Source organism: Homo sapiens, chromosome 14, assembly GCF_000001405.40.
Source record: "Homo sapiens chromosome 14, GRCh38.p14 Primary Assembly".
Classification (NCBI taxonomy): Eukaryota; Metazoa; Chordata; class Mammalia; order Primates; family Hominidae; genus Homo; species Homo sapiens.
Window position 1 is genome coordinate 39,827,939 of NC_000014.9, and position 25,225 is coordinate 39,853,163.

General features: G+C 36.2%; 1 long non-coding RNA gene across 2 annotated transcripts in view, besides 1 other annotated feature; it reads left to right on the forward strand.

The window, feature by feature from the left end:
- The window catches only part of LOC105370461 (uncharacterized), a 433,650-nt gene that overhangs the window by 395,590 nt on the left and 12,835 nt on the right, over positions 1–25,225 (forward strand). The window lies entirely within an intron of this gene.
- Positions 20,631–20,804: a silencer, noted in NCBI's record as "fragment chr14:40317773-40317946 (GRCh37/hg19 assembly coordinates)". NCBI's record gives its function as "represses an EF-1alpha promoter that drives an FKBP-Casp9 reporter gene in an ReSE screen in K562 erythroleukemia cells {active_cell/tissue: K562}" and the evidence as "EXISTENCE:reporter gene assay evidence [ECO:0000049][PMID:32094911]".

A 25,225-nucleotide genomic window follows, 5' to 3' on the forward strand; every position in this document is an offset into this window, starting at 1 on the left:
AGGGTCATACTAGTACATCTGAGGTTCAAGTAGATGTGTTGGCTGGAATGAGGATCAGAGTTGAAATGAGCAATAGGCTGAGAAAGTCTATTAGAAGGGAAATTTTGAGTCCAATATGCAGGACACTAGCCTGGGGTAGAGGTGAAGTTTATTTCAGTCTTGAAACATTTATGACTCAGAACTACTTAGTTTCATACTCTAATTCTCTTTCAGTTCTACCACTCTCGATTGCTTAGGGGTAAAAATTTGTTAGTGGGATTAGGACTAGAAAAATCTAAGTTGAATATTATTTCAAATGGTTGCTAGTTATAATAAAGCCCAGTTCTGTTTATCATATATTCAGGTATTGCTTTCTGGGATTACAAAGATATATTGGATATAGTTCCTGAGATTAAGGTGTCTCAGTCTAGTCAGGGAGTCAGAAATGTGGATAAATGCTGTATTGATATGCTAAATGTACTGACAGAGAGAAATAAAATGGTACACAGGATGAAGGGGGATGGTAGGAGAAGAGTAATACCTATACCAAGATGTGAAGAAAATGATCTCACTGTGTGGGGAAAATACTGGAGAGTGCAGAAGGGCTATGAGGCAAAAACAGTCTCTGCCATGCGAGCAGAGCTACAATGCAAATGGGCTTATGAGTTTGAAAGGTTCTCTGGTGTACATTTCTTCAAAATATTGTTTATTGAAAAGTATTATGTATTGGTGCCCTAAGATTTTATGCTATTTGATGATCAAGACAGAGACGACCAGCAGCCTAAAGAGAAAACTCTTAGTTGAAGGAAATATATTTTAGGCAAAACATTTCCTACTCTTTTTGAAACTCTTTTAAGGATTGATCTGAGAACTATCACACAGGATACAAATATAGAAAGATCTCAGGAGAATGAACTTTTATCTCCACAGGCATATTTTTATTTCTTTGGTTCATTAAGTTCAATAATCCAGAATGGCTCATTCAGAGTTTGGTCTACTCATAATCAGGGAAGAGGAATTAATTTATAATGCCACCCAAAGTCAGGTTGTATCATCAAGTCTTTTACTGGAAATCTTATTTTGTTTTGAAGTTAATTGGGAATAGTGTTGGATGAGGCAGTGAAAAAAGAATTAATTTCAGTTTCTGTGAAAGCTGGTACTCAGGACTTATGCAAACCATACAGGGCAAAATCTATCCAGCTCTCTCTTGCCAATTATCAGCTGATATAACTGTGGTGATAACTATAAAGTAAACCTTGTTTGGTACTATTTTGCTCGGTATATTTTAGAGCCTTTAATAATCTAGTATTTCTTTAATAATTCTAATATTTTTGAGTATGAGATATAGCATTGTTTAACAAATATATTTTACCACCCTGAAGTCTGCTTTGCTTCTTTTGTAGTTTATCCATTGTCTCTCAAAACTGGATGTTTTTATTTTTTGCAAAGTGAATTTCCAAAAATACTGCCTTAGTTCAAAAAGAATAGAACACTGAAGAATGTCACCTTTAACTCCTTATTGTATTACCATTGATTTTTCCTGTTTGTGGTGAGGAATATTTATTTTATTCTAGTCAAAATCTAGGACCTTAAATTGCCATTTGGATATTGAATCGATTGTCTACTTTAGTCTTTAGCTCTAAAGAATATCTTGAACTACTTTTTACTACATAGCTCTAAGAGCCAGGGAAAATGAACACACCCAAGAATTATAGGGATATAAATATAGTCTCTCATAAGTTATTCCTTTTTGAAAGCAAAATAAATTGAGAACTATAAACTTCTTGTTAGCAGATGTGAACTGAGAGACTCTGCTAACTTGTTTTACTGCCAAACTCATAACTATATATATCAAGACTGACAATATTTGCAAAGACATTTATTACTTAGATTTTCTTAGCAGGAATTAAAAATTCACCTATATAGTAAATTACTCCCTCTTTGACTGATAAAATAATTTATTCTATAATAAGAGATGTTTATCAAACCTAGCTAGATCATAAATTACAGATTTTGATCAAAGTATCAAATTGCTCTGTGTTGATAACCTAAGTGGCCATTAATAGTGACAATGCTATTAAGCTATTTAATATAGAAACTTTAACATACTGAGAGGTAAATCTCATATTTATCAACATTACTTAAATGAATTCCTAGTGACCTTGCTTATGTGCTCAAAAATCCCAAGTCCACATTTTTTCAGTTACTTTGATAACTCTTTTGAAATTGTCATGCTTATGTTACATACTCCTAAATTTTAAATGCTGGAGTTATAAAAGGAGCACTGATTCTGAAAGTGTATTTATCAGCTATAATAGAACTAAAAGATGACAGATAGTAGGGTAAAGAATGCAAAATCTTTCCTAGAATTAAATGGTGTTGGTGACATAGGGAAAAAACCCAGTCATAATAGAGACAATAATTAACACATAGTGGAAGAAAGCTTTTCTCAGCCCAAACAACAAAAACTGAATAAAACAAATTTGACTTACATAGTGGAACTGCTTATTAAATTTTAGGCAAAATCTAGGTTATTTATACTTAGTAGTATAATAGCAAAATATTTAAATTACAAAATTATGGAGACAATTTTACTATCATAGAAAAACTGTGGGCCAAGAAACAAGAATCTGATTGGCTTCACTGTAACAGCATACTCAATCACACAAGGGCTCAAAAAGTAAAATATCTAAGTAAAATAAATCCTCATTAATGTTGTTGATAGGTTCTTGAAAACTGCAACTTTAGGCAAAACGACATTAACGAAGCCAATTTTACCTTAGGCGAATTGATATAAACAAGAATTAAGTTCCTGCAGCATATTTCTAGTCACAAAAAATCACCACACTTCTAAATAAAGACCCAACAGAATTCTAAATGAAACAGTGCAATAAATGTGAGCTTTTATTTAAGAAATACAATTTAAGAAAGATCTTAATACATTTAAGAAAGATCTTACACATTTAAGAAAGATCTTAATGCATTTAAGAAAGATCTTAATACATTTAAGAAAGATCTTATTACATTAACATTAAGAATGTTAATACATTCTTAAATGTATTAACAAAGATCTTAATACATTTAAGAAGGATCTTAAATACATTTAAGAAAGATCAATAAAACCGAGTGAGATAATTACCCATTTTTTGGTGAATCAGTGAGTGACAGTGGTCATAGTTGTGGTGGATTAAATCAAGGAATAAATGTTTGCAAAGTGAGATGGTAAGGGGCACCTAGCACCTCTCAGTTCAAATAATAACAGACATGGAGGGCTCACTGAGTGCTTTTGTACTGCTTTGTTTATTGTCATGCATTTATATTATTATCAGAAACTTTATGAATTTTTATTTTACAATAATTTATATTCATTCATTTATTTTCCAACCTACTTATTCCAATTCAGGGTTACAGGTGGCTGGAGCCCATCCTGGTAGCTCAGGGTACAAGGCGGGAGCTAACCCTGGACAGGATGCCATCCTATTGCAGGACTACTCACACACACACACTCACCCACTCACTCACACTGGGACAATTTAGACACACCAATTCACCTAATGAGCACGGTTTTGGGATGTGGGAGGCAACTGGGGTACCTGGGGAAAACCCACACAGACATGTAGAGAACATGCAGACTCCACACAGATGATGGCCCTGGCCAGGAATCTATGTTTTTCTCATCAACATTATAAGGAAATGGCATTGAACAAAACATTATTTGAGGGTCTGCTGTATTTATCTTAGAAATATTTTTTGAATAAGCTTTTCTGTCAAGTGAGAGAGAACCCAAAATTAAGAATCAAGGTGAGAGAAATATGACTAAAAGGGCTGTGCTCTACTGGACATATTCAGTAATAGCCAAGTGGCCAGTTGCCTGATGATGAGCATCTCAGGAGACAGGTACCACAGAATTTGAGTAGTTCTATTACTTTTGGGTTGTCTGGTAGGGTTGAAATATTACCACAAGGCTTGAGTTGTATCATCAAGAATTAAATGTCCAACCCTATAGCTCCAGTCCCCAAGGAGCTGAGATGGCCAGCTGACTTCTAGTAGCAAATCAAACCAGCAACAACTTCCAAACTGAGCTGTGATCAATGCCTCAGTCTCATCACAAGATCTATTGGGTATTGATCTGAGTTTGATCTATTAAAATCACCATGTTTGAATATTCTCAGAGATATGTATTATGAAATAGTATCACTTTCAAGTGTTTGTCTATAGACTCCACCTCTACAATATGTGGACAGTGTGGCAAATATTGGGGTATGCTGCACACACACGCATGCACACACAACAAACTCCAGATGTGACATGCGCTGGACCAAAACACTACTAGATCTCCTAAACTTCTCTCTTGAGAAATGTAGGCATGGTCTAAATGGCTGATGAGCAAAGTCTCCATGGCCACTTCTTTGCTTGTAAACTACTTTAATTTAAATAATCAAATAGACACATCAACTAGGTAAAATTAAAGAACTTAGGTAGAAGACAATTGTTTTTGAAATTATTTTGGAAGTTGAGCTAAAAGACATGATAATGGGGACACTAGAAGGATTACAGTACAATTTGACCACTTTGTGAGTATCCCCGGTGGAAACAGTAGACTAATTTTCTCCCCCAGGATGCCTTTTGTTCAAATCCAAAGTTTAGATCTTCTTAACCTTGTCATACGTAAGACTCACTCTAATGCTCCTACACATGGTTCAAAGTAAATAACTTAAAAAAAAGAATGATGTAAGTATGCCGTTGGTTATAGCTGGATGAGGCAATCTAGCAGTAGTTACAAAGAGGCAATAGTTCTTACATTTCAGTAGAAAAGAAAAATCACTTGGGGTGCTGGTTGAATTTGTATATTTCCTCAGATATTTCAATTCAGAAGGGTTGGAGTACAGGTATATGAATTTGCATTTTAATAAGCACCCTAGTCAATTCTTCCACAAAACATGTTTTAAAGAACACTAGCAGATGGTAATATCTCCGTGCTGTAGTTTCTCTATTTGTAAAATTAGAAGGATAATTACCTTAAATTTTGTAAAATTAGGACAATCCAATAATTACCTTAAAAGGTAATGGTGATGATTAAATGAAGCTACTTCTCTGAGTCTGGCTGAGAACCTGGCATGTTATAAATACTCAATATATGTTGTTTTAATAAACTTATACTCAAAATGGGGCAATACTTAAAGCTATAATTTTACATAAAGTTATAAAGCAGATATATGGCACAATCAGTTATGTAAATGTATTTCTTGAAAAAGACTAGAAAAATAATTAGTAACATGTTAGTAGTGTCATTAGCCTTTCTGATCTATTTTCACGACTTCTCTCTGTATTGTGAATATAAAACAATAAACATTTACTTTCATATTTTCCATTTTATAAGCTTTAAACAAGGCACATAATAACTACACTATATTCTACATTCTTTATGTTATAGATCTCTACCTCTTTGTGTGTTATTTTCATGATCTTAAGTAGCTGTTAATAAGGTTGATTACTGTATTAATAACTGGCAAAGAACATTTCTGAATCTTGCAGATGTTGAATATATTTTATTTTCAGCTATAAACTTTAAGGAGAGCAAGGGTGCAGAGTAGGAAATACTTTGAAGACAATGTAATCTATGAATTCTTTATAAATTTTTGTTTTGAAAAATGAAAAAAACACCCTTACCCTTTAGAAAAGATTAATTCATGAGAAGCTTTACACAAAAGGAGCTTATTGCCCATGGTGGAAGTGTGTGTTGTATTATCTGTACGGCTTGTGTCACCTGCTACCATGAGAGATGAAGGTAGTTGGAAGGGGGTGAGCAGTAAATTATCCAAGACTTTGAAAGTAATAAAAGAAACCATGGGCTGAAAAAAAAGACGTTCTAGACATAATTCACAGATTTATTGTAATCATTTTCAAAGCACTGAAACAGACCAAATGTGTGGAGAAATTATTTCTGATTGCATACTGAAATTTTAAAGGCACTCAGATGTCTGAGGTTTGTGTTCCATATAGAAACTCACTTTGAATGCTAGGTTTGGGAATTGGATAGAAAAAGGAAGAGATTCACATTTTGAATAAGCCCGAGAAGCAGAAAGCAGGAGAAGCTTACAAGAAGGCAAAAACTCTAAAGAGATTAAAGTGAGACTTGGCCTGGATAGCAAAGCGAAATAAAAAAAAAAAATCTATCTGGGAACAAAAAGGGCTCAAAAATAGTCATTGCAATGTGAATAAAGGTTAAATGATTCTTGCCTAAAACTAAAAGAATACTGTGACTTAGTGTATTGGAGCAAGAGGCAGGCATAGATACTTGGTGGGAAAAAAATCATACAGGGCTGGGCACAGTGGCTCACGCCTGTAATCCCCGCACTTTGGGAGGCTGAGGCGGGGGGATCACCTGAGATCAGGAGTTCGAGACCAGCCTGGCTAACATGGTGAAACCCTCTTTCTACTAAAAATACAAAAAATTAGCCTGGCGTGGTGGCATGTGCCTGTAATTCCAGCTACTCGGGAGGCGGAGGCAGGAGAATCGCTTGAACCTGGGAGGCAGAGGTTGTAGTGAGCCGAGATCTTGCCATTGCACTCCAGCTTGGGCAACAAGAGCGAAACTCCATCTCAAAAAACAAAAAATCATACAGATGACTTTCGTTCTATTTTCTATTCTAATTTGTTCACTAGAAACCTTGGGACTCATATTCTCTGCCTTTTCTGTAAAATGTGGACAATGAGGTACTGGTTGAATTTGTATATATCACATAGTGTTCTGTATGGGTATATGTGAGTAAGGCTTTCAGATTAGTTTCTGTAATTTGTTTCTTGCTTGTTTCAGAAAACAAAGGTAGTCTTCTAAATTTGATGATAGCAGTGGTGGTAGGCTCTTATAAAAAAATGAGTGCACTGCAGTTTCAAATATTCTACCGTCTCTTCCCAATAGAAACCTAGAAAAAAAGAGTTGAAATGGAATTTAGAAGTTATTTCCTCATTCACTGAAGTTTTTCCATATCACTTCAAAAGATGGCCATCTGACCTTGGCTTGAATTAAGATATACTGTGTTTATGTCATCAACTGTGATTTTACCATTGTATTAATCCTGTTAAAAAAAGAAAGGTTAATTGAGTGTAAAGTGATCTTAGTGAATTTAATCTTTTAGAATTTTGCAGTGGAGGATATCAATATCACACTTATAGAATGTAATTTGTAAAACCTATTTTTTCCCATCAAAGGTTGGATATCTTTTCATTGCTCTCAACTCTCTGTTACTGAGTAAAGATAGCCAGTAGCAACTCTGACATCTGGTTCTTTTCATCTCTACAGTTACAACTCCAGGTTTGCCCCGCTGTGATCCCTCTGTCACATTGCTGCCAGAATAATTTTTCTTAAAACTGTTCATAAATGTCTCCTGCTAAGTCATTCAATGACTCTTCATTAGCTTCAATATAAAAGTTCAAACTCTGCAGCATGGCATGTGATATGTCTTATAATAATGAATGTTTCTGTATCAGTTGACTATTGCGGCAAGAATGCTGCATAACGAACAAACCTGCAACTCAGTGCCTTCAAACAATGAGCATTTTTTCTTTATGAGTTTACAGGTCAGTTGGGAAGTTTTGCTGATCTCACTTGGGCTTTGCTGGCCATTGTGTCTCAAAACGGACAGTTAGACATGCCGTGACATTCTGTCTTGCTTATGTTAAGGCACCTTGGACTTTTATATTGTGATGAATTGTGCTTCTGACTTTATATAACTCAATGATAAGAGGACCCTGGCTATATGTCTTAGTCCATTGGGGCTGCTGTAACAGGATGTCATAGACTGGGTGGCTTATAAACAAAAAACATTTATTTCTTATAACTCTGGAGGCTGGGAAGTCTAAGATCAAGTGCTTGCAGATTTGGTGTCTGGTGAAGGCTCATTCCTCATAGATGGTGCCTTCTAGCTGTGTCCTCATGGTAGAAAGGGTGAGGCAGCTCTTTGGGGCCTCTTTGATAAGATTTCTAATACCGTTCATGAGATCTCTACTCTCATGACCTAATCACCTTCTGAAAGACCCCACTTTTTAATATCAGCATTTTGGGGGCTAGGATTTCAACATATGAATTCTGGGGAGACACAAAAATTCAGACTGTAGTGCTACAGAAATTAAAAAATTCATGTTTTCAGCAGGAAGACTGGTCATTAGTGAGCCTTCTTTTATTGCTGTAAATACTATGCCGTAATTAGACTACATAAATATAGATTTCCATTCAATAGTAACTATTCTATTTTTCTTGCTTATGTTTGATAATGCTGTTGTCTTGGGAAATGTACTATTCTATGTCCTCAATTTTCATTGAAATATATTATGAGAAATTATTTAACAGGAAAGCATAGCTTCTCTTTAATATTATTAAAGACAGATATATTCTAGTAAGTCAGATCTTATTTTTGTCATCCTAGTGTGCCAGTTATAGGCAGTGTGGCTCCTCAGTCTAGTAAAGAACACTTTAAAGCTAATGAAAAGGTGAATAGCATGATGAGAAAGATACCATTGTTTGCTGAGGGAACAGTAGAGTACCATATCTGAATCTGATATAGCTCTGGAGAATGGCTAAAAATTGGTTGGTGTCCATAAATTAAACTGTCTCAGAAAGGTGACTTAATCAATGGATAGATGGCTGGTTCTCAACCTTGTGATGCCCATTGGGTAGTCACTTCTGAAATACTTTCAGCACTGAGTTAGAAATACCTATCAATTTCAAGAGAAAATCTTGTCTTGTATTTGAACAAAATGCTCTCTTACCTTAGAGTTGGTATATATTTGTCTAATTGCAAGGCAAGTCAAGCTCTAAAACAATTGCTATCCACCAAAATATACAAATAGAAAGAACTGCCCAACTCTTAAATGGTCAGCACCACTTTTGTCATGTCATTTTGACTACCAATGACAACTTCTGTCCGGATAGCCCAAATTGGGCCAGGGTGAGCTGTAGAAAACATGCCATCACCACATCTCACTTTAGCAAATATTTTGAAACTCTACATATCGAAAAAGTTATTTACATGGACAGTAATTATTTTAAATAGAAGCATTTTAGAGCAGGTTAGTTTTTTAATACTTTCAGTAACACTTCAGGATAAATAATCCTATAAATCTTATATACAAGAAAAGAACAGTAGGTTAACTGTTTCCAAAATTTTCATTACCCATAACCCATCTTCTTAAGCTTTGACAAAAATGCAAATAATTTATTTAGAATTTTATTAACAAAATGACAGAAATAGTTAGAAATGTTCACAGAAACATCCAGGTTCCTACTTTAGTTCTGCGATTGAACAGAGCATTACTAGTACTCTTGAACATGCACAAATTGCCTTCATTCTTGGCTTGCCTTCCCATCACCTTTCCATTGTTTTAACGATCACTGAATAATTGGGCAGGTCCAGATTTGCTTTTTCAGTGTGGACTTGCTTTCAAATTGATTTTAAATTGCTCTGAAAGATCTGGTAAAATTTTGAAGATGTCAAGATTTAGATTAAGATGAGGTATAAATTAGCTTCAAATTCTTTGCCCAACAGAACAAATGAATAGGGTAATAAAAAACAAATGGGGTATAGCAAGAATTCTGAGTTTTTCAGCCACCTTGACGGACTGCTGAAAGACTTTGCATTTTCACAGTGCAACCGGCTGCTACAAGAAGGAAGAAGGCATCAAGAAAGAAGACATTTTCCAAGCCTTATACCTTTAGTCAATATACAGGTAACCCAGTCAGAATAGTTTTTAGTTTATGATGTAAATAAAAAACACTCAACAGAATTCTTCCATATTGCAGCATTTTTGTTGCCTCCAAATATCAAATAATATCTTCCCAAGGAGATCCCTTTCTTTTTCAAAAGATGCTTTTCCTATTGTAGACATACACAGAAGAGAAACAAAATTGTTTATGGTTGTTTGAGTTGTCTAACATACCCACAAAGAATACATTTTTCTTCAGATAGTCATTTTAAGCTGTATTTTTATTTACCAATTTTCCAAGATTTAATTACCCTGTGCAATGGACTGAATTGTGTTCCCCCAACCCCAAATTCATATGTTGAAACTCTAACCACCAATGTGACTACTGTATTTAAAGGTGGGCTTTTAAGTAACTAAGGTTAAATGAGATAATAAGGTAGGGGTCCTAACTTGCTAGGATTCATGATTTTATAAGAAGAAGAAAGAAGATTTTTCTTTCTCACCACCATATAAAGACACAGCAAAAAGTCAACCATCTGCAAGCTAGGTAGAGGGCCCTTGATAGAAACCGACAATGCTGCCACCCTAATCTTGGAGTTCCCAGTCTCTACAACTGTGAGAAAATATATTTCTGTTGTTTAAGGCACCTAGTCTATGATATTTTGTTACAGCAGCCCAAGCAGGCTAGGACAGCCCATTAATGGTTATAAAAGTCTTTCTTTTTAAACATTCCCTTCCCTCTGTTGACTTACTGTTTGTAGTCCTTTCTTACCACAACTCTCTGAGGAGGGGACAGGGCAGGACTATCATATGATGGGTCATTTCTCTAATTGTGAGTATCTTGGCTGTGTCTGGATGAAATAATTCATTCTACCACTGCTAACTATTAAATGCTTAATCTTCACCAGGCATCATGCTAGGTCATAGATATCTGTTCTAATCCTTACAAAGATCTCTGCATAGTAGGTATTGATACACCTTTTCTTTTTTCAAACAGAAAAACAACTGAACTTCAGAAAGTTTATATAATTTGTCCAATACCTACAGCTGGTAGGTGGAAAACTGGGTCTGACTAACTCTAAAGTCCCTACTTTTCTCAGTATGGCCTGTTGTGTTGTTGAGTATAATCTGAGATATCTATACCAGGAGATTTACTCAGTGGAATTCAACTGGACCATGAAGAAGGGCAGCATGGCAAAGAGGCTTTGGAGTCCAATAACTGGGTTTCTATCACAGAACCTTATTTGACCTCTCTGAGCTGAAATTTCCTAGTCTTTGAAGTGGAGATATAGCATCTAACTTTACAGGGTTGTTGTAAAAATTAAAGGGGGTAAATATTTGTAGCACTTGACACAGACTTTGCATCCAACAGTCTTTTTTGTTTATTTCTTTCTCTTTCTCCTCCCAATAATTGTTTAACCAAATTTCTTGATTATTGGCCTATGTACCAGGCACTTTTCTAAATGTGGGGAGCATCAGTATGAATAAAACTATGCCTTGAGGAAACAGCCTCTTAGAGAAGTGAGATGCGAACATTTATAATGTAATCTAGAAAGCACACGGAGTTTTATGTGAGACCAGAGAGTATACATATGACCAGGTGTGATCGGGGTGGGGATTGTTCCTAAATTAGATAATGTCTGAGCTGAATCTTAAAGAATTAATACTCCTAAGAATGAGTCAGGGATAGGAATATGAGAAGGGAACACTAGGCAGAAGGGAGAATGAGAGCAACCACATGAGAGTGGTAAAACAGCATTTAGTGTTACTGGGTCACAGAATAAAAGGGGGAGATCACGCTGGAAAGAAAGGCAAGAGTCATATGTAGTGGGGCCTCACTTCTGTCTGTAAGAGCATAAATATATTTATGTTGGAAATGGGGAGCCATAGCAGGATTTGGTTTTAAGCACATGGGTCTCTCTGGCAGACCTTATGTGTAGGGTGGATTTGAGGAAAATAAGATGAGTTAGGGAGTTAGTATTGCAGGTGGGAGGGGATGGGGGTTGAGCAGGGACAGGTGGAGTAGGAGATGGGAGGAGAAGATGGCCTCGATAAATTTAATAAAATTAAATTTAATTTATTGGATTTAGGTGGAAGTAGAGAAAAAGAGTTAAGGATGACTGCTGGGTTACTAATGTGGGTAAATTGGAAGGATGGTGGGACCACCAGATGAGAGAGAATGACGAGTGTGAGGGCAGTGCTGATGTGTCACCTATGTACCCTCTCAAGCATACCCATGGCAGGGAATGTAGCGACTGACAGCCTCAACTATGGTGCCTTTGGATCTACCATGGCAAGGGATCCCTGAGCTGCTATGAGCAATGCCTGATCACTATGGTAGCCCCAGAGTCAGGCCATTCCTGCCTGGTGTGGGATTCTTCCATGGGCAATTTTGCTCAAAGATTTCCCATTGTTGTGGCTAGGACTCAGAACTGCAGTGCAGTATCAGGCCCTTTCTAGCCAACCCTGCCTCTACCCTCTCCTTTCACAGGCATCAGATCCACATTGTGGTCTGAAGGGTCTCATTGGCTATCCAGCTCCCTCCCGCTTTGTCCTGTCTACCCTCTCCTTTCACAGGCATCAGATCCACATTGTAGTCTGAAGGGTCTCATTGGCTATCCAGCTCCCTCCCACTTTGTCCTTCACAGGTGTTTCTCCCTCCAGATCTCTTGCACCTCTAATCTCAATGTGGCTTCTACTTCTTGGAGGACCCAAACTGACATAAGTAGCATTTGGACATGGGTATGATGAAACACAAGATCAGTTACAGAAATACTAAGTTTGGTATGACTGAGAGACATTTGGCTGGAAATATCCTGTGGATAGTTGGATAAAGAAGTTAGAAAAATCAGAGATTGAAAAGTGCTTGACATACAGATTTGGGAATTTTTAGCATGCAGTGGTTAATCAAAACTATGAGTGTGGATAGATTCATTCAAGGAATAGGAATAAAGTGAAAATAGCAGAAATTTTATATTTGTATGCTATGGTCTGAATGTTTATGGGCCTCCAAAATTTATATGTTGAAATCCTAACCCTCAAGCTGATTGTATTAGGAGGTGGGGCTTTTGGGAATGGGGTTAGTGAACTTATAAAAGAGACCCTGGAACGATCCTTGTCCCTTCCACTATGTGAGGGCACAGGAAGAAGTTGGCAGTCTGAAACCTGAAAGAGGGCTCTTGCCAGAACCTGGCCATTTTAGCACCCCAATCTTAGACTTCTAGCTTCCAGAACTGTGAGAAATACATTTCTATTGTTTATAAGCCACTCAGTCTATGGTAAGTTGTTATAGCAGCCAGCATTACTGGCATTCTGCAAGACACACATCTGGATCAGCTTGTCTTTTGCCTTGGCCTCATGTTCTTGGCATATTTTATAGCATAACTGAAGGGAGGCTAAGGATGTCTCTGTAGTGGGGTGGGGTAGAAACATACAGTATCATTATGTATGAACTTGGGCAACTTGCTTTTAAAATGATTTCTGGCAGGTTTTAAAGCAAAATAAGCAGGAGGCCATTAGTCTGAGTTCCTATATAACAAACCACAACCTAACTTAGTATGTAAACCTCTGAAACCTAATTTAGGAGTATATTTAGTAACCAACAGCTGAGTTTCAGGCAATCACAAACAGCTATACTTCAGCCAGTCACAGGCAGCCAACTGATCAGCTCATTCTCAAATAAGGCAGATGCCTAGCTGTGGCCTATTAAGTAATTTCTCTGCTTTGCTTCCATGTGTGGCCTATACCAACTTGTTGCTCATTCTGCTGGGTGGAGCTCTCTGAACCTCTTGTGGTTCTGATTGCTGCCTGACTCATGAATCATTCTTTGCCCAAATAAACTGTCAAATTTACCTAAAATTTTTCCTTTACCACAGAGCATAAATAAACTAGCATTAACATTTCCACAATATTCTTAACATGGTGGCTGCTTTCTAAGTGGATGAGGTTGGGGCATAGCAGACTACTTAGTCCCCAGTAAGATATTTTATGTTAATATGCCCCTAGCATCAAATATTCAAATTATATATATATATATTTGACAGAAGGAACATGCATGTGAATTCCAGAGGTTTATTTCTTGCCATTTTTGTATTAGGTTAACTGATTTAATTGCAATATATTCAGTTTGTACACAGCTGGCACCAATCTCAATTTTGTTTACATATATCTGCTGTCATTTTAGGTCGTAGACTCTGTTCCACACAAGTCTTATATGAAAGTCACACCATGTGCAATCCCCCCAAATGCAGTGCATCCAAACTTGCCAAATTTTATGAGCTCCTCCATATAATCAATTTCATGAAACATTGATAGATTCTTTGTTTCTCATGACTTCTGGCAATAGTTGAAATACAAGGTAACCACTCATTTCACAATGTTATATTGAGAAGACTAGTTAATACAGAAAGCTATACCACATCTACACTGAGTACCAACTGGGAAGCCAATGAAGGATTTGAGCAAAAGTTTACCCTATTACTTTAGAGTAAGTTGGATGAATTGGAGGAAGTAAAAGACATAGAATTATTGAGGTGAAAATCAGCTGAAATGATGAAGAGACTGAAGCTTTCAACAATGTGATAGGAAAGCAATTTGAAAACAAGTCACAGGGAAACAACTGACATTTCACAATCAGAAATGGTGTGCCACAGGAAGCCTCAGGCACAATATAGTTTCACAAAGAATATATTTTGTGCATACTGGCAAAAACATATGGCTCTAGATTTTAATGTATCCATGTACATAAGTAATGGTCATATTAAATAGTATTTCTGAAGCTGACAAATAGTAATTCTAAACATCTCTAGGCTAAAATTTACTATCATCGAAGTTTGGAAATTTTGACCTATGCTGATAGTTATGTTTTAATCATAATTGTTTATTGAACTAATGGCTACACATCTTAGGTCTCTGTTAATACATGAGAACATTGTCAACGTGAGAGATTGCTTTTGTATTTACTTCCCATTTGACTGCTTCTCTCCCCTTTCCTGCTTTCTCTTAATTGTTAGGTTCTTAAATACTGCACTGATGGAATAATATTAATCAATGGAAATAAACAGAACTTCAGTTTAAGAAAAGAAATGTTAGCATATGTATAATCTAATAATTTGCTCACTATTGATGGTCATTAGATAATCAACCTTCCATTATATACTCTAAGTATATAATTATTTTAAAATTATCTAAATATTCACCCATTTTTAGAATCTTCTTTATGAGAATGAGGCTCCATGGTTCATAATTAGATCACCTTCTTTCAACTTGGATTAGTTTAATTGTCTCTTCATCCCAAATCACTTTTCGGTAAGTTAAACTAATGGAAAATAACCTAGAGAATTGAAAAGAATGTGAGTTTAGGCATGAGAAATAAAAGGATTAAACACACATCTGTTCCTCCTGTTCTTTTAAAGCATTTTCTGTAGTTGTAACAGTAACTTTGGTATAAGAAACTGTTGAAGCTGTGTGAAACCACTGAGAGAGTATGGAAAGTGGGATGACATTTAAGTTCTGTGAAATCTAGCTGTGACTTTGGGCTTACAGTTTTAAGTATCTATTTCCTCACACACACACACACGCAAAGAATATTACCTAAGGTGTGTAGGTATCTCCCTTGCAACCTGAGAGAATCTATGATATTAGAAATTAGAAATTTCTTTATCTATGATAAAGAAATTAGAAATGTCTTTCGCAGATATGTGGACTTATTTAGTCATTTAAAAATATGTGTGCAGTAGAATCTTTTCTACTTCATCTTCATGTCTATCCCAGGGAAAATAAAGACATCTTTGTTTGAAATTATCTCTATTGTATGCCCAGTTCTGGAAATGTAAATTGTAGACAAGTTCTTTGGATATTGATAATGCAGCTATAATTTCTGAGAGGTAATAGAGTGGTTTAGCTTATTTGACACATGCTGTGCTGAAGTAATCTTGTTGAAGAAGCTTTATTCTTGTATCTCATGCCTGAAAGCTGGGCACTTTTCACTTAATGGACAACATATCTTGTTAAGTTCTACAGCCAGGTGTCATTTGTCTTCTTCATGGACAACTGGAATACAGAATAAATCTAGATACTAGTATTTTCTACCAATACAAACTCATTGAAAATGATCTAGAAAAGAGATTCTTATCAACTCTTTTGGGAAAAGCTGAGTGTTGGGAGAAGCTGAGGCAGGGCTTGCATGTCTGACATAATGTAAAAGAGTCCTGGAACATGTCTGGGGTCCAGGGTCTAAAACCTCCTGTGGCCTTTGGAGCGCCAAGCTCTGTGCTAAAGGGTGGAAGAATACCCTGATACACCATAATCTGAGCCCAGGCCATAAAACCCCTCATGGATTGTATAGAATCCAGGGCTCATGGCTCTGGAGTGTGTCTAGACTTGCTGACTCCTTGCTCCTTGCTCTCCCAGGATCGATTGTATCTTTAGTTAAAAGAACCTGCTCTCCATTATTCTCAAGTAGCAGAGCAAATGCTAAACCATCACAGCTGTAAATCATGTGCTTAATGCAATGTGCCCTTTAGACCTCCACATTCTCACCACCTGTTTCTTTGTTGGATTACCAATAAACAGCGTGGGCTCCCAGAGCTCAGGGCCTTCATAGCCTCCACGATCGCGATGGCCCCCTGAGGTCCCACCTTTCTCTCTCAAACTGTCTTTTTCTCAATCCTTTGGCTCTGCTGGACTTTGTCACCCCCATGACCTGGTGTTGGGTCTGATCACCCCAACAAACTCTCCTTAAAATTATATAGAACATTGTGGTATGTGTATATACATATGTTTTAAAAGAGAGGACCCATAGCCTTCCTCTGATATTTAAATGGGGCTTGTGACTATCCCAGATGTTTAGAATCATTATTATAGAATACAAGAAATATTATGAGCAAGGATTAAAACAATAGAGTGAAATTTGTCTATTTCTTTCATGAATAATATTAATCATAAATTTCATGGTTTAATCTGAATTTTGTTTTACTCTAATTATCCGTAACATTTAATGACATGTTATAATTTTATGACATAAAGTTCCCGTATCAATGATATTCAAAGGTTGCTGTGTAAGGAATACTCGTTTTACACATTCAAGTTGAATAAATAGCATTATTTCATTTAAATTCTCTGGGGAAAAAAATCAGCCACAGAAAATTACTCAATTGAATTTCCTATAAGAAAAAACATAAATTATTTCATCAGAATGATTCTAAAAACTTCTGAAATTTTATATGTGAATAAAATATTGACTTAGTTTTTAATTATCCAAAACTGCATAGGGTTTTTTTTGGGTAGCAGTTTCTGGAATATTGTCTTAATATAACATGATGGTTAAAAGTTGAGTCTTTGGAATCATTTAATCTATTTTTAAATCCCACCATCAGTACTTATTGACTGTGTAACACCTAGCTAAATAACGTATATTCTCTTTCCACAATGAATGAGGCAATGTACAAAAAAAGCTTTGCCTAGTGCCTAGTAAATGTAAATCCTTCATAAATAGTAGCAGTAGTAGTAGTATTCATTCTTAGGGAGAGCACAAAGAGACTTAATGTATACAATAAGATATTAATGAGGGAAATTAGGAAGGAGTTCTGGGGAGGCAGAGTCACCTAGGAATATAATTCAGGCTTTAATCCATTGCATTAGCAGATGCTGCCCCAAGAATCACTCCCTGTGTAGAGGTAATTATATCAAAATAGGTCTCTGTGTTTGAGCTAAGACTGTGAAATACAGCTAGCGTACAAAACCCTGAACATAACATAATTGATAATCCACAAAGACACAAATTTTGTGAGATAATGCAAAGTTGTCAATGCTATGCAACTACTGTTGTATTGATTGTATTGTGTGTAAATGATTTTCTGTATTTTGTATGTGAGAAAATTTTAGCTATGTCTTTCTGCAGGTACACCAGGGAGCACTTGTTACATTTATGTGCTATATTATTTTTATGTTTGGTTGTGAGTGTTGAAAAAGCCTTGTTTTAAATGTAATTACAATTTGATAATACCTTAAAAAGTGATATCTTTTTCTTACTCTTCTTTTCCCCATTTCTGTATGTCCAGTTATAGAGAGGCCTCTATTGAGTGTTCTGGACCCATCTAGTTTTCCTTCTAGGGAGTTAATATTAATTAGAGCTAATGTTCATTTAGTGCTTTCTATGGGTAGGCACTAAGACCTCTATCAGTTTTATTTTGCTTAATCCTCACAGTAACCCTGAAAGGTAAGAACTACCATTATCTCTATATCATAGATGAAGAAATTGGATCTTAGGGTAATTCTTCTGCTTAAGCTAGCACAGATAGTGAGTGGTAAAGCCACAATTCAAACCTCTGTGTGCTCCCAGAGCCCATATGCTACTATATGATATTAGCCTGCATCTCAGCAGGGAAAGCAAGATGAGCCATTGAGTGTAGAACTTGTTACCAATAAAAATTACCTGCACCTGTGTGCCCTGGCACCACTTCTAAGATGTTTTTGCCAAAAGTAAAAGACTACTGTCTGATGCTCATGTTCATAATGTGCCACGTACTTTCTCTCCAAACTCTTGAATGCATATCACATCAATTTTTCCCCAAACACCGAAGAAATAGGATTTATTCATTTATTTCACCTTGGTTGCATGTCTATAGAACCAAGGCAATGTTTTAAGCACTTGTAATTTGTTTAATCCCTGAACAAAACACAAAACAAAACAGACTATGCCTTTTTGGAGGAGTTTTGTGGATTTCAATGTAAGGGAAATTGACAGCATCTAAGAAAAAGGGAGAGTGTCTAACAAACAACTGGGCAATCATGTAGAGTAGGTTTTAATCAGCATTCATTTCTTAAATGTTAGGAATGCTGAAGACAAATATGCCTGGAGTAGAATTTTTTTTTGGTTTTATAGATTATACTATCATCATTCTTTCTCATCTTTGTTTTCCTACCTATTAAATAGGGCTACCAAAAGAGAAAGTTGTGCATTCCTCTGTCTTAGGATATGTAGTCTTCACTTTTCCCATACTTGGACATGTTATATATTTTTTGGTGGCAGAAATGAGAGAGATCAATAATCAATACTGTTGGTTGGAAGATGTCAAGTAAAACTTCCATCCATCCGGACACTGTTCTTTGTTCATGCATGGATGCTAGATGCCACAAGATCTTGAAAGCTAATAAGAAGGCAGACTAGGGATCTTTCAATCCAGGATGACATGGGGGAAGGGAAGATTACTATTATTTTTAACAAATCTCTTGATTATGTTTCTGCTATTTGTCATAGTATTTGAGTTTTGTGATGCTGACACTGTAGAACTAAAACATGAAGAGGATTGTGAAAACTTACAATGGGAGAACTTCTTCCCCCAATGTAATGTAGTCAAGATGTACAGCTTTTATAGGTGATTGGAGTCCTCCATGACCTTACATAGGAACGTACAAGTACGTACTAATACAATCTCTTAAATGTGAGCAAACTAGAATGGTTCTGTCTTTTCTGTGTTCTCTAGCACTCCCAAAGTTTCCTTCCTTAAAGGGAAGTCTTGTTACAATGACATATTGAAGGGCAATAATCTTCATGAGCATTGGAAAGAGAAAAATAGCAAGCTTGAATAACAGTATTTTTTGAAGATTCTTCAAGATTTACTCAAGATATTTTTTTTCTTAAGAGTTCCAATCTGGAGTGACTCCTGATTATGCACTGAAACCTTTGAAGAACTTCCTATGTGTTTATAAAATGATTCATTCTACTTTGTTGAGCTCTTAAATGCCTGTGCCCCAAACACAGTAAAAGCCCATGACTATGTTCAATATTATTAGGAACATGGAAGAGTGAGTCATTTTTCCACCTCTGTTTAATGAAACCTCTTTGTTCTGATGAGACTGTGTGATCTAGGGTTTTAAACTCAAAGTATATTAACTAGGAAATATAGAAGCTAAGAAAAAAATGCAGAAAAGCCATCTCCTGAGGCACTGGGAAAAGCTAAGAGTCTTAAGTGGGAAAACGATAGAGTTTTGTAATAAATATGATAAACAATATAAGCCAGTGGGTTTATGTTCCAGTGAAATCTTTACTAAATATGTGTTATTTTCTAAAATACTCTTACTGTTTAAATAAATGCATACTTAAACTGCTTAATAATTTAAACATTTAGAACTTATCTGGTAGAATACTGTGCACCTTACATAAATTAACCGATTAACTGACTTAACACTTATAACATTCCCAAGAGTTAGCTACTATTACTGTTCTCAGTTTACAGATGAAGAAGTTGAGGGACAGAGATATAAGGTAACTTGGTCATTGTCATGTACACAAGGAGTAGTGGCTCCAGAACTTGAATCCAGGTAGTCTTTCTCCGGAACTCATACTCCTAACCACTAAATGTTTCTCAGTAGGTTATCTATTTTTGTTCCCATATCAGGCAGTTTATTAATAGCTTACATCAATATGTATACTGTTGTAAGTACTATTTTATCACATTTAGAGAGCTATTTTCGGCTGGGCACGGTGGCTCACGTCTGTAATCATAGCACTTTGGGAGGCTGAGGTGGGCGGATCACAAGGTCAAGAGATTGAGACCATCCTGGCCAACATGCTATTTTCTATTATTTGGTGAAGTAGTTCAAGCAAAAGCTGGTTGGTTAATTATTTGTATTCGGGATTGGAGCAAGAGGTAAAGGAATTAAGAAATAGCTGTACTGTTTAGCTGGAAACCAACAACCCAATTTTGTTGCTGTGAAAGTTGACTACTTTCTATGCTATAAATTATTTTGGAAAATAGTTTGAATTATTTATGGATTACTATTTTGGAAAATAGTCTACTTTAACAGAAAGTATACAGTGGTTAAGCTTGGAAACTTTAGAACACTTTCTTTTAATGGGGTAAGGGAGAAGGAAAATTTTTTTTGTTTTGTTTTTGAAATGGAATCTCACTCTGTTGCACAGGCTGGAGTGCACTGGCATGATCTTGGCTCACTGCAACCTCTGCCTTCTGTGTTCAAGTGATTTCCCTGCCTCAGCCTCCTGAGTAGCTGGGATTACAGGCACCTGCCACCACACTGGGCTAATTTTTGTATTTTAAATAGAGATGGGTTTTACCATGTTGGCCAGGCTGGTCTCAAACTCCTGACCTCAAGTGATCCACCTGCGTAGGCCTCCCAAAATGTTGGGATTATAGGCATGAGCCACCACACCTGGCCAGGAGAAGGAAAATTTTCATTAGTTCCTGGTCAGAACATGGTACTTAGAAAGGATATGGAGGAAACAGTGGAGGTATTGGTCCACTCAGCTATACGTTGAAGACCTGCCAGGATCCCCTAGATTCAAGTCTTATCACTTGCTAGGTATTTGGTAATGTGCAAAGGAGAGAGAGAGAACTTGCCTTGTAGAACCTTGTTAGTCCAAGTGTGGCCCAGCAGTACTGACATCAGTAGGGAGCTCATTAGAAATGCAGAATCTCAGTCCCCACCTAGACCTATTAAATCAGAACCTTCATTTTGACAAGATCCCCGGAGGATTCATTTGCCTATTAAAGTTTGATAAACATTGTAATGGAAGGAAGTGTAAACCAAAGATAAAATTCTAAGGTTCCCCTAACCATCTGAATGGACCCCTTCTCTCTGCCAAGGGCATTCCAGAGTTAACCTGAAAAACTAGTTTATGATGGAAGAGGGGGTCAGACCTGCCTCTTTATACCCTTCAGCATTAACATCAACACAGACCTTAAGTCTGATAAGAAACACTTATAGTCTGTTCTCACTCAGACATTCTTTTCTATTGATAATAACTCTTTCAACTAATTGCCAATCAGAAAAATTTTAAATCTACCTATGACCTGGAAGCCCCCACTTCTAGTTGTCTCACCCTTCCAGATCAAACTGGTGTAAATCTTCCATGTATTACTTGATGTTTTGATGTCTCCCTAAAATGTATAAAAGCAAGCTATACCTCAACCACCTTGGAAACATGTTGTCAGGAACTTCTGAGGCTGTGTCCCAGGTGTGTCCTTAACTTTTGCAAAATGAACTTTCTAAATTAATTGAGACCTGTCTCAGATACTTTTGGGTTCACAGGAGGATACACTTTTTAGGTTTCTGTTCTGTTTTGAAGGACAAGAAATGACCTCAAGTACCCTAAAACTTAAAGTATAATAATAATAATAAAAAAGAATCTTTGGCATAAATCTCATCTCTTTAAGAGCCTTCTATCTAGCTGAGTGATTTTATTTTCATGCAAAAGTTCTCTTTTTCTTTTGCAAATAATAGTGATACCTGAGATGATAACAATAATAGCTAAGATTGACTGAGTATGTACTATGTGCCAGCCACTGCCCTAAGTGTTTTATGATTGTTATCTCATTTAATCTTCACAGTTAACCAATTTAACTGATATTTTTACTTATCTCCAGCTTGCAGATGAGGAAACAGAGGTATAAACGATTAAATAACTTACCCAAGATCATACTGCTAGCAGAATCCAAACCCAAATTTGACTCTTAGACCCAAGTGGCATTATTTGCAGACTGAACTGTTTCTCAGCTATTAAGACCTACCCTACTGTTCCTGTAGTGACTTAATTTCTTATCTGATCCTCTCATTAAATAGGAAAATGTAGAGAGATACTGTATGGACCCTAATACATTTAGAATTCTTCAAAGCTTCTAAGCAGTATCAGAATGCTACCATCAAACTCTTCAAAAAATGTCTCATTCATAAGCAATTGGCATATTTGTGGATACACACTGTATTGTAGAACATATTTCAAAAAAGAAAAATCAGTGGGGATTTACAACACCATACATTAGGACACATTTTTTTTTTCAACATTGGAAGGTGCTACTTTTTAATTTCTTTGATATAATTTGGACCTCTGAACTATAGCAGTACTATCCTGGTGTGCTAATGGAGGCTTCTGGGGGAGTAGGCTAAGACCTCAACAGGTAACAGAAGAATCATTTCAAATGAAACATATTATACCTCCTGCTAGCAGGTCTCACCTGTTAACCTCAGAGTATGGTGCTGTTGAGTCTTTGAAGGGAAGGCCTCCTAGGGGATGCCACCTAATTCATCCTAGGGAGACTAAGATGGAAAATGTTTCCCAAATGGCTCTCTGTGTGTTCTTTGACCTGAAGCTTCAGCCCCGGATGAGTGAGTGTTTTCCAAATTGTTGTTTTGGTTCAGTGAAAGATGTTTCTAATGCTCTTCAAATAGTAGAACTTTTTGTTATTGTTGTTCAAGTCAAGGCAAGGGCAACAATTCTTTAGCAGCTGTATTCCTTTTCTTATTTTATTACAATTCTCCTTTATATATTCAGTGTTTCATCATATGCTTTTTACTCATAAGGTTGTAACTCAATTAAAGCATTCAAGCATTTTAGCCTTGTGCGTTAAAGACTATCATCATCAATAAATTCAAATGGGGCTAACCTTGGAGTGACATCTTCATTTCTATGATAATATACAATCTGCAGATCTTTTCATATCATTGGTCACAGCTTGATCATACTCTCATAAGTAAAGACCTTGGAACTTTAAATAAGTTACTTCTTCATTTTTAGCCAGTTGGATTCATTTATTTATAAATGCTTATTTCAGTCATTTCACTGAGCTCAAGCTGTTGATTGATGTTTCATGTGACCATTTTCCTTTTCAAAACACAGGAATATAGCTGGGACATAACTTTCCAATAGCCATTTAATATGAAAACCTATTTTGTGTATGGTTCTTTCTGTAATCACTTGTGCATGACTGAGCTTAAATGGTTTGCAGACCTTGCTGATGGATTACAGAACAAGCAATGAACTTGCAATTTTTTCTTAAGGGATTAGATGATTTTGCACTGTGGTGAACTGTGCATTTTGCCTCGCATTTCACTCTTGCTTAGGTGCTGTTTGGTGATTAATTTTATGAGATATGATGAGAAATACCCTAGATGAGCTGCACAAGGCAGATGGTGCCTTCTGATAAAAATTACATTCTTGTCCAGTAGTGATAGGCATGGGATAGAAGATGATGATCTGTTTGTATGCATTTCCAAAAGGAAGGCTGAAGAACTCAGTTAAGGAATAAATAGTTCAAGGCCCTTTTACCCTTTACTACTTGCAGGCCCATGGAACCATATAGAGAACCCCAGGTTGCCATTGATGCTCACTAGCCAACCTATGGCCAACTCTCAGCTTGCAACATTTGTTTCACCAACTTGTTGTATTATAGCATTTTGTTTTATGTTTGTTGACTGATATAATAGGGCAGAAATACTGCTAGAAGTTTGTCTAGCACAATAATTGATCAAGTAATTAATCAAATATATTTTATTTGATTTTATTCCAAACAGCCGCCTAGTCTTTGAATTCAACAGTGTTTTTAGCTTTTAAAAATGTGTTAGAAAAAGGGTAATAAAAGGAAACAGAGACTATCACTGTAATAAGCGATAAGCAGAATTAGCTTTTTCATTTTTTTTTTTAGTGGAGATAATGTATTCACAGGTTTCAGAGTATGGCTACTTGCTGTGAAAGCTGAGGCAAGTCACAAGATTTTGCAAAGCCCTTGCAAAATGGAGATAATGATGCACCCGCCTTTTAAGCTTGTGGAACTTGTGAGATTTGAATGAAATGATCCATGTATATTGCTAAACATAGTACGTAGTAAGTTTTCTAGAAATGTTGGTGTCTTCATCTGTTTTGTGTTGCTATTACAGAATACCAATACAGAATACCACAGACTAGGTAATTTATAAACAATAGAAGTTTATTTGCTTCATGGTTCTGGGAACTGGAAAGTCCAAGAATATGACATCAGCACCTGGTGACAGCCTTCATGCTATGTCATCCTATGGGGGAAGGCAGAAGGGCAGAGACCATGAGAGCAAGAGAGAATAAGGAAGCTGAACTAACTTTTATAGTAACCTGCTACCATGATAACAACAGTAATTAATTCATGAGGGCAGAACCCTCATGATCTAATCACCTATTATTAGGCCCCACCTCCTAACACTGTTGCACTGGGAATTAAATTTCCAACACATGAACTTTGGGGGACACATTCAAATCATAGAAGTTGGTTACTATTATATATCTTTGAAGCCATGCCAAGCATACTCTGTTTAGACTTATTTTCCCAGTTTATAAGTGAAGAAACAGACATGTAAAAAAGTTAAGCAAAATTTACAGTCACAGCTAATGGGCTCAGGCTGTCTCATATCAAAACTGTAACTATAATTTTGTGTTTAATGCTGAACATAATTTTAAGCATTTTTTCTCCATAATTTTATCAGGAAACTGAAAATAAGAGATTTTATGTAATATACAAAAGAACCCCAGGTTACTAAGTCACAAATCTGGGATTTGAATGTTATTCTGCCTGGATTCCAGATGTTCCTTGCTCATCACCCTGCTCTCTGAACATCACATGGGATTGTAGTATTTGAGGAAAGGGCTTATACATCTAGCAACATTTTTCCATTAATTTCCTATTCTTTTTATATTCTCTATATTCACTAAATATTTCAGTGATGGTTGAAAGGAACAAACTTTAAAATACATAGGAAAAAATACTAATAAGATACTACC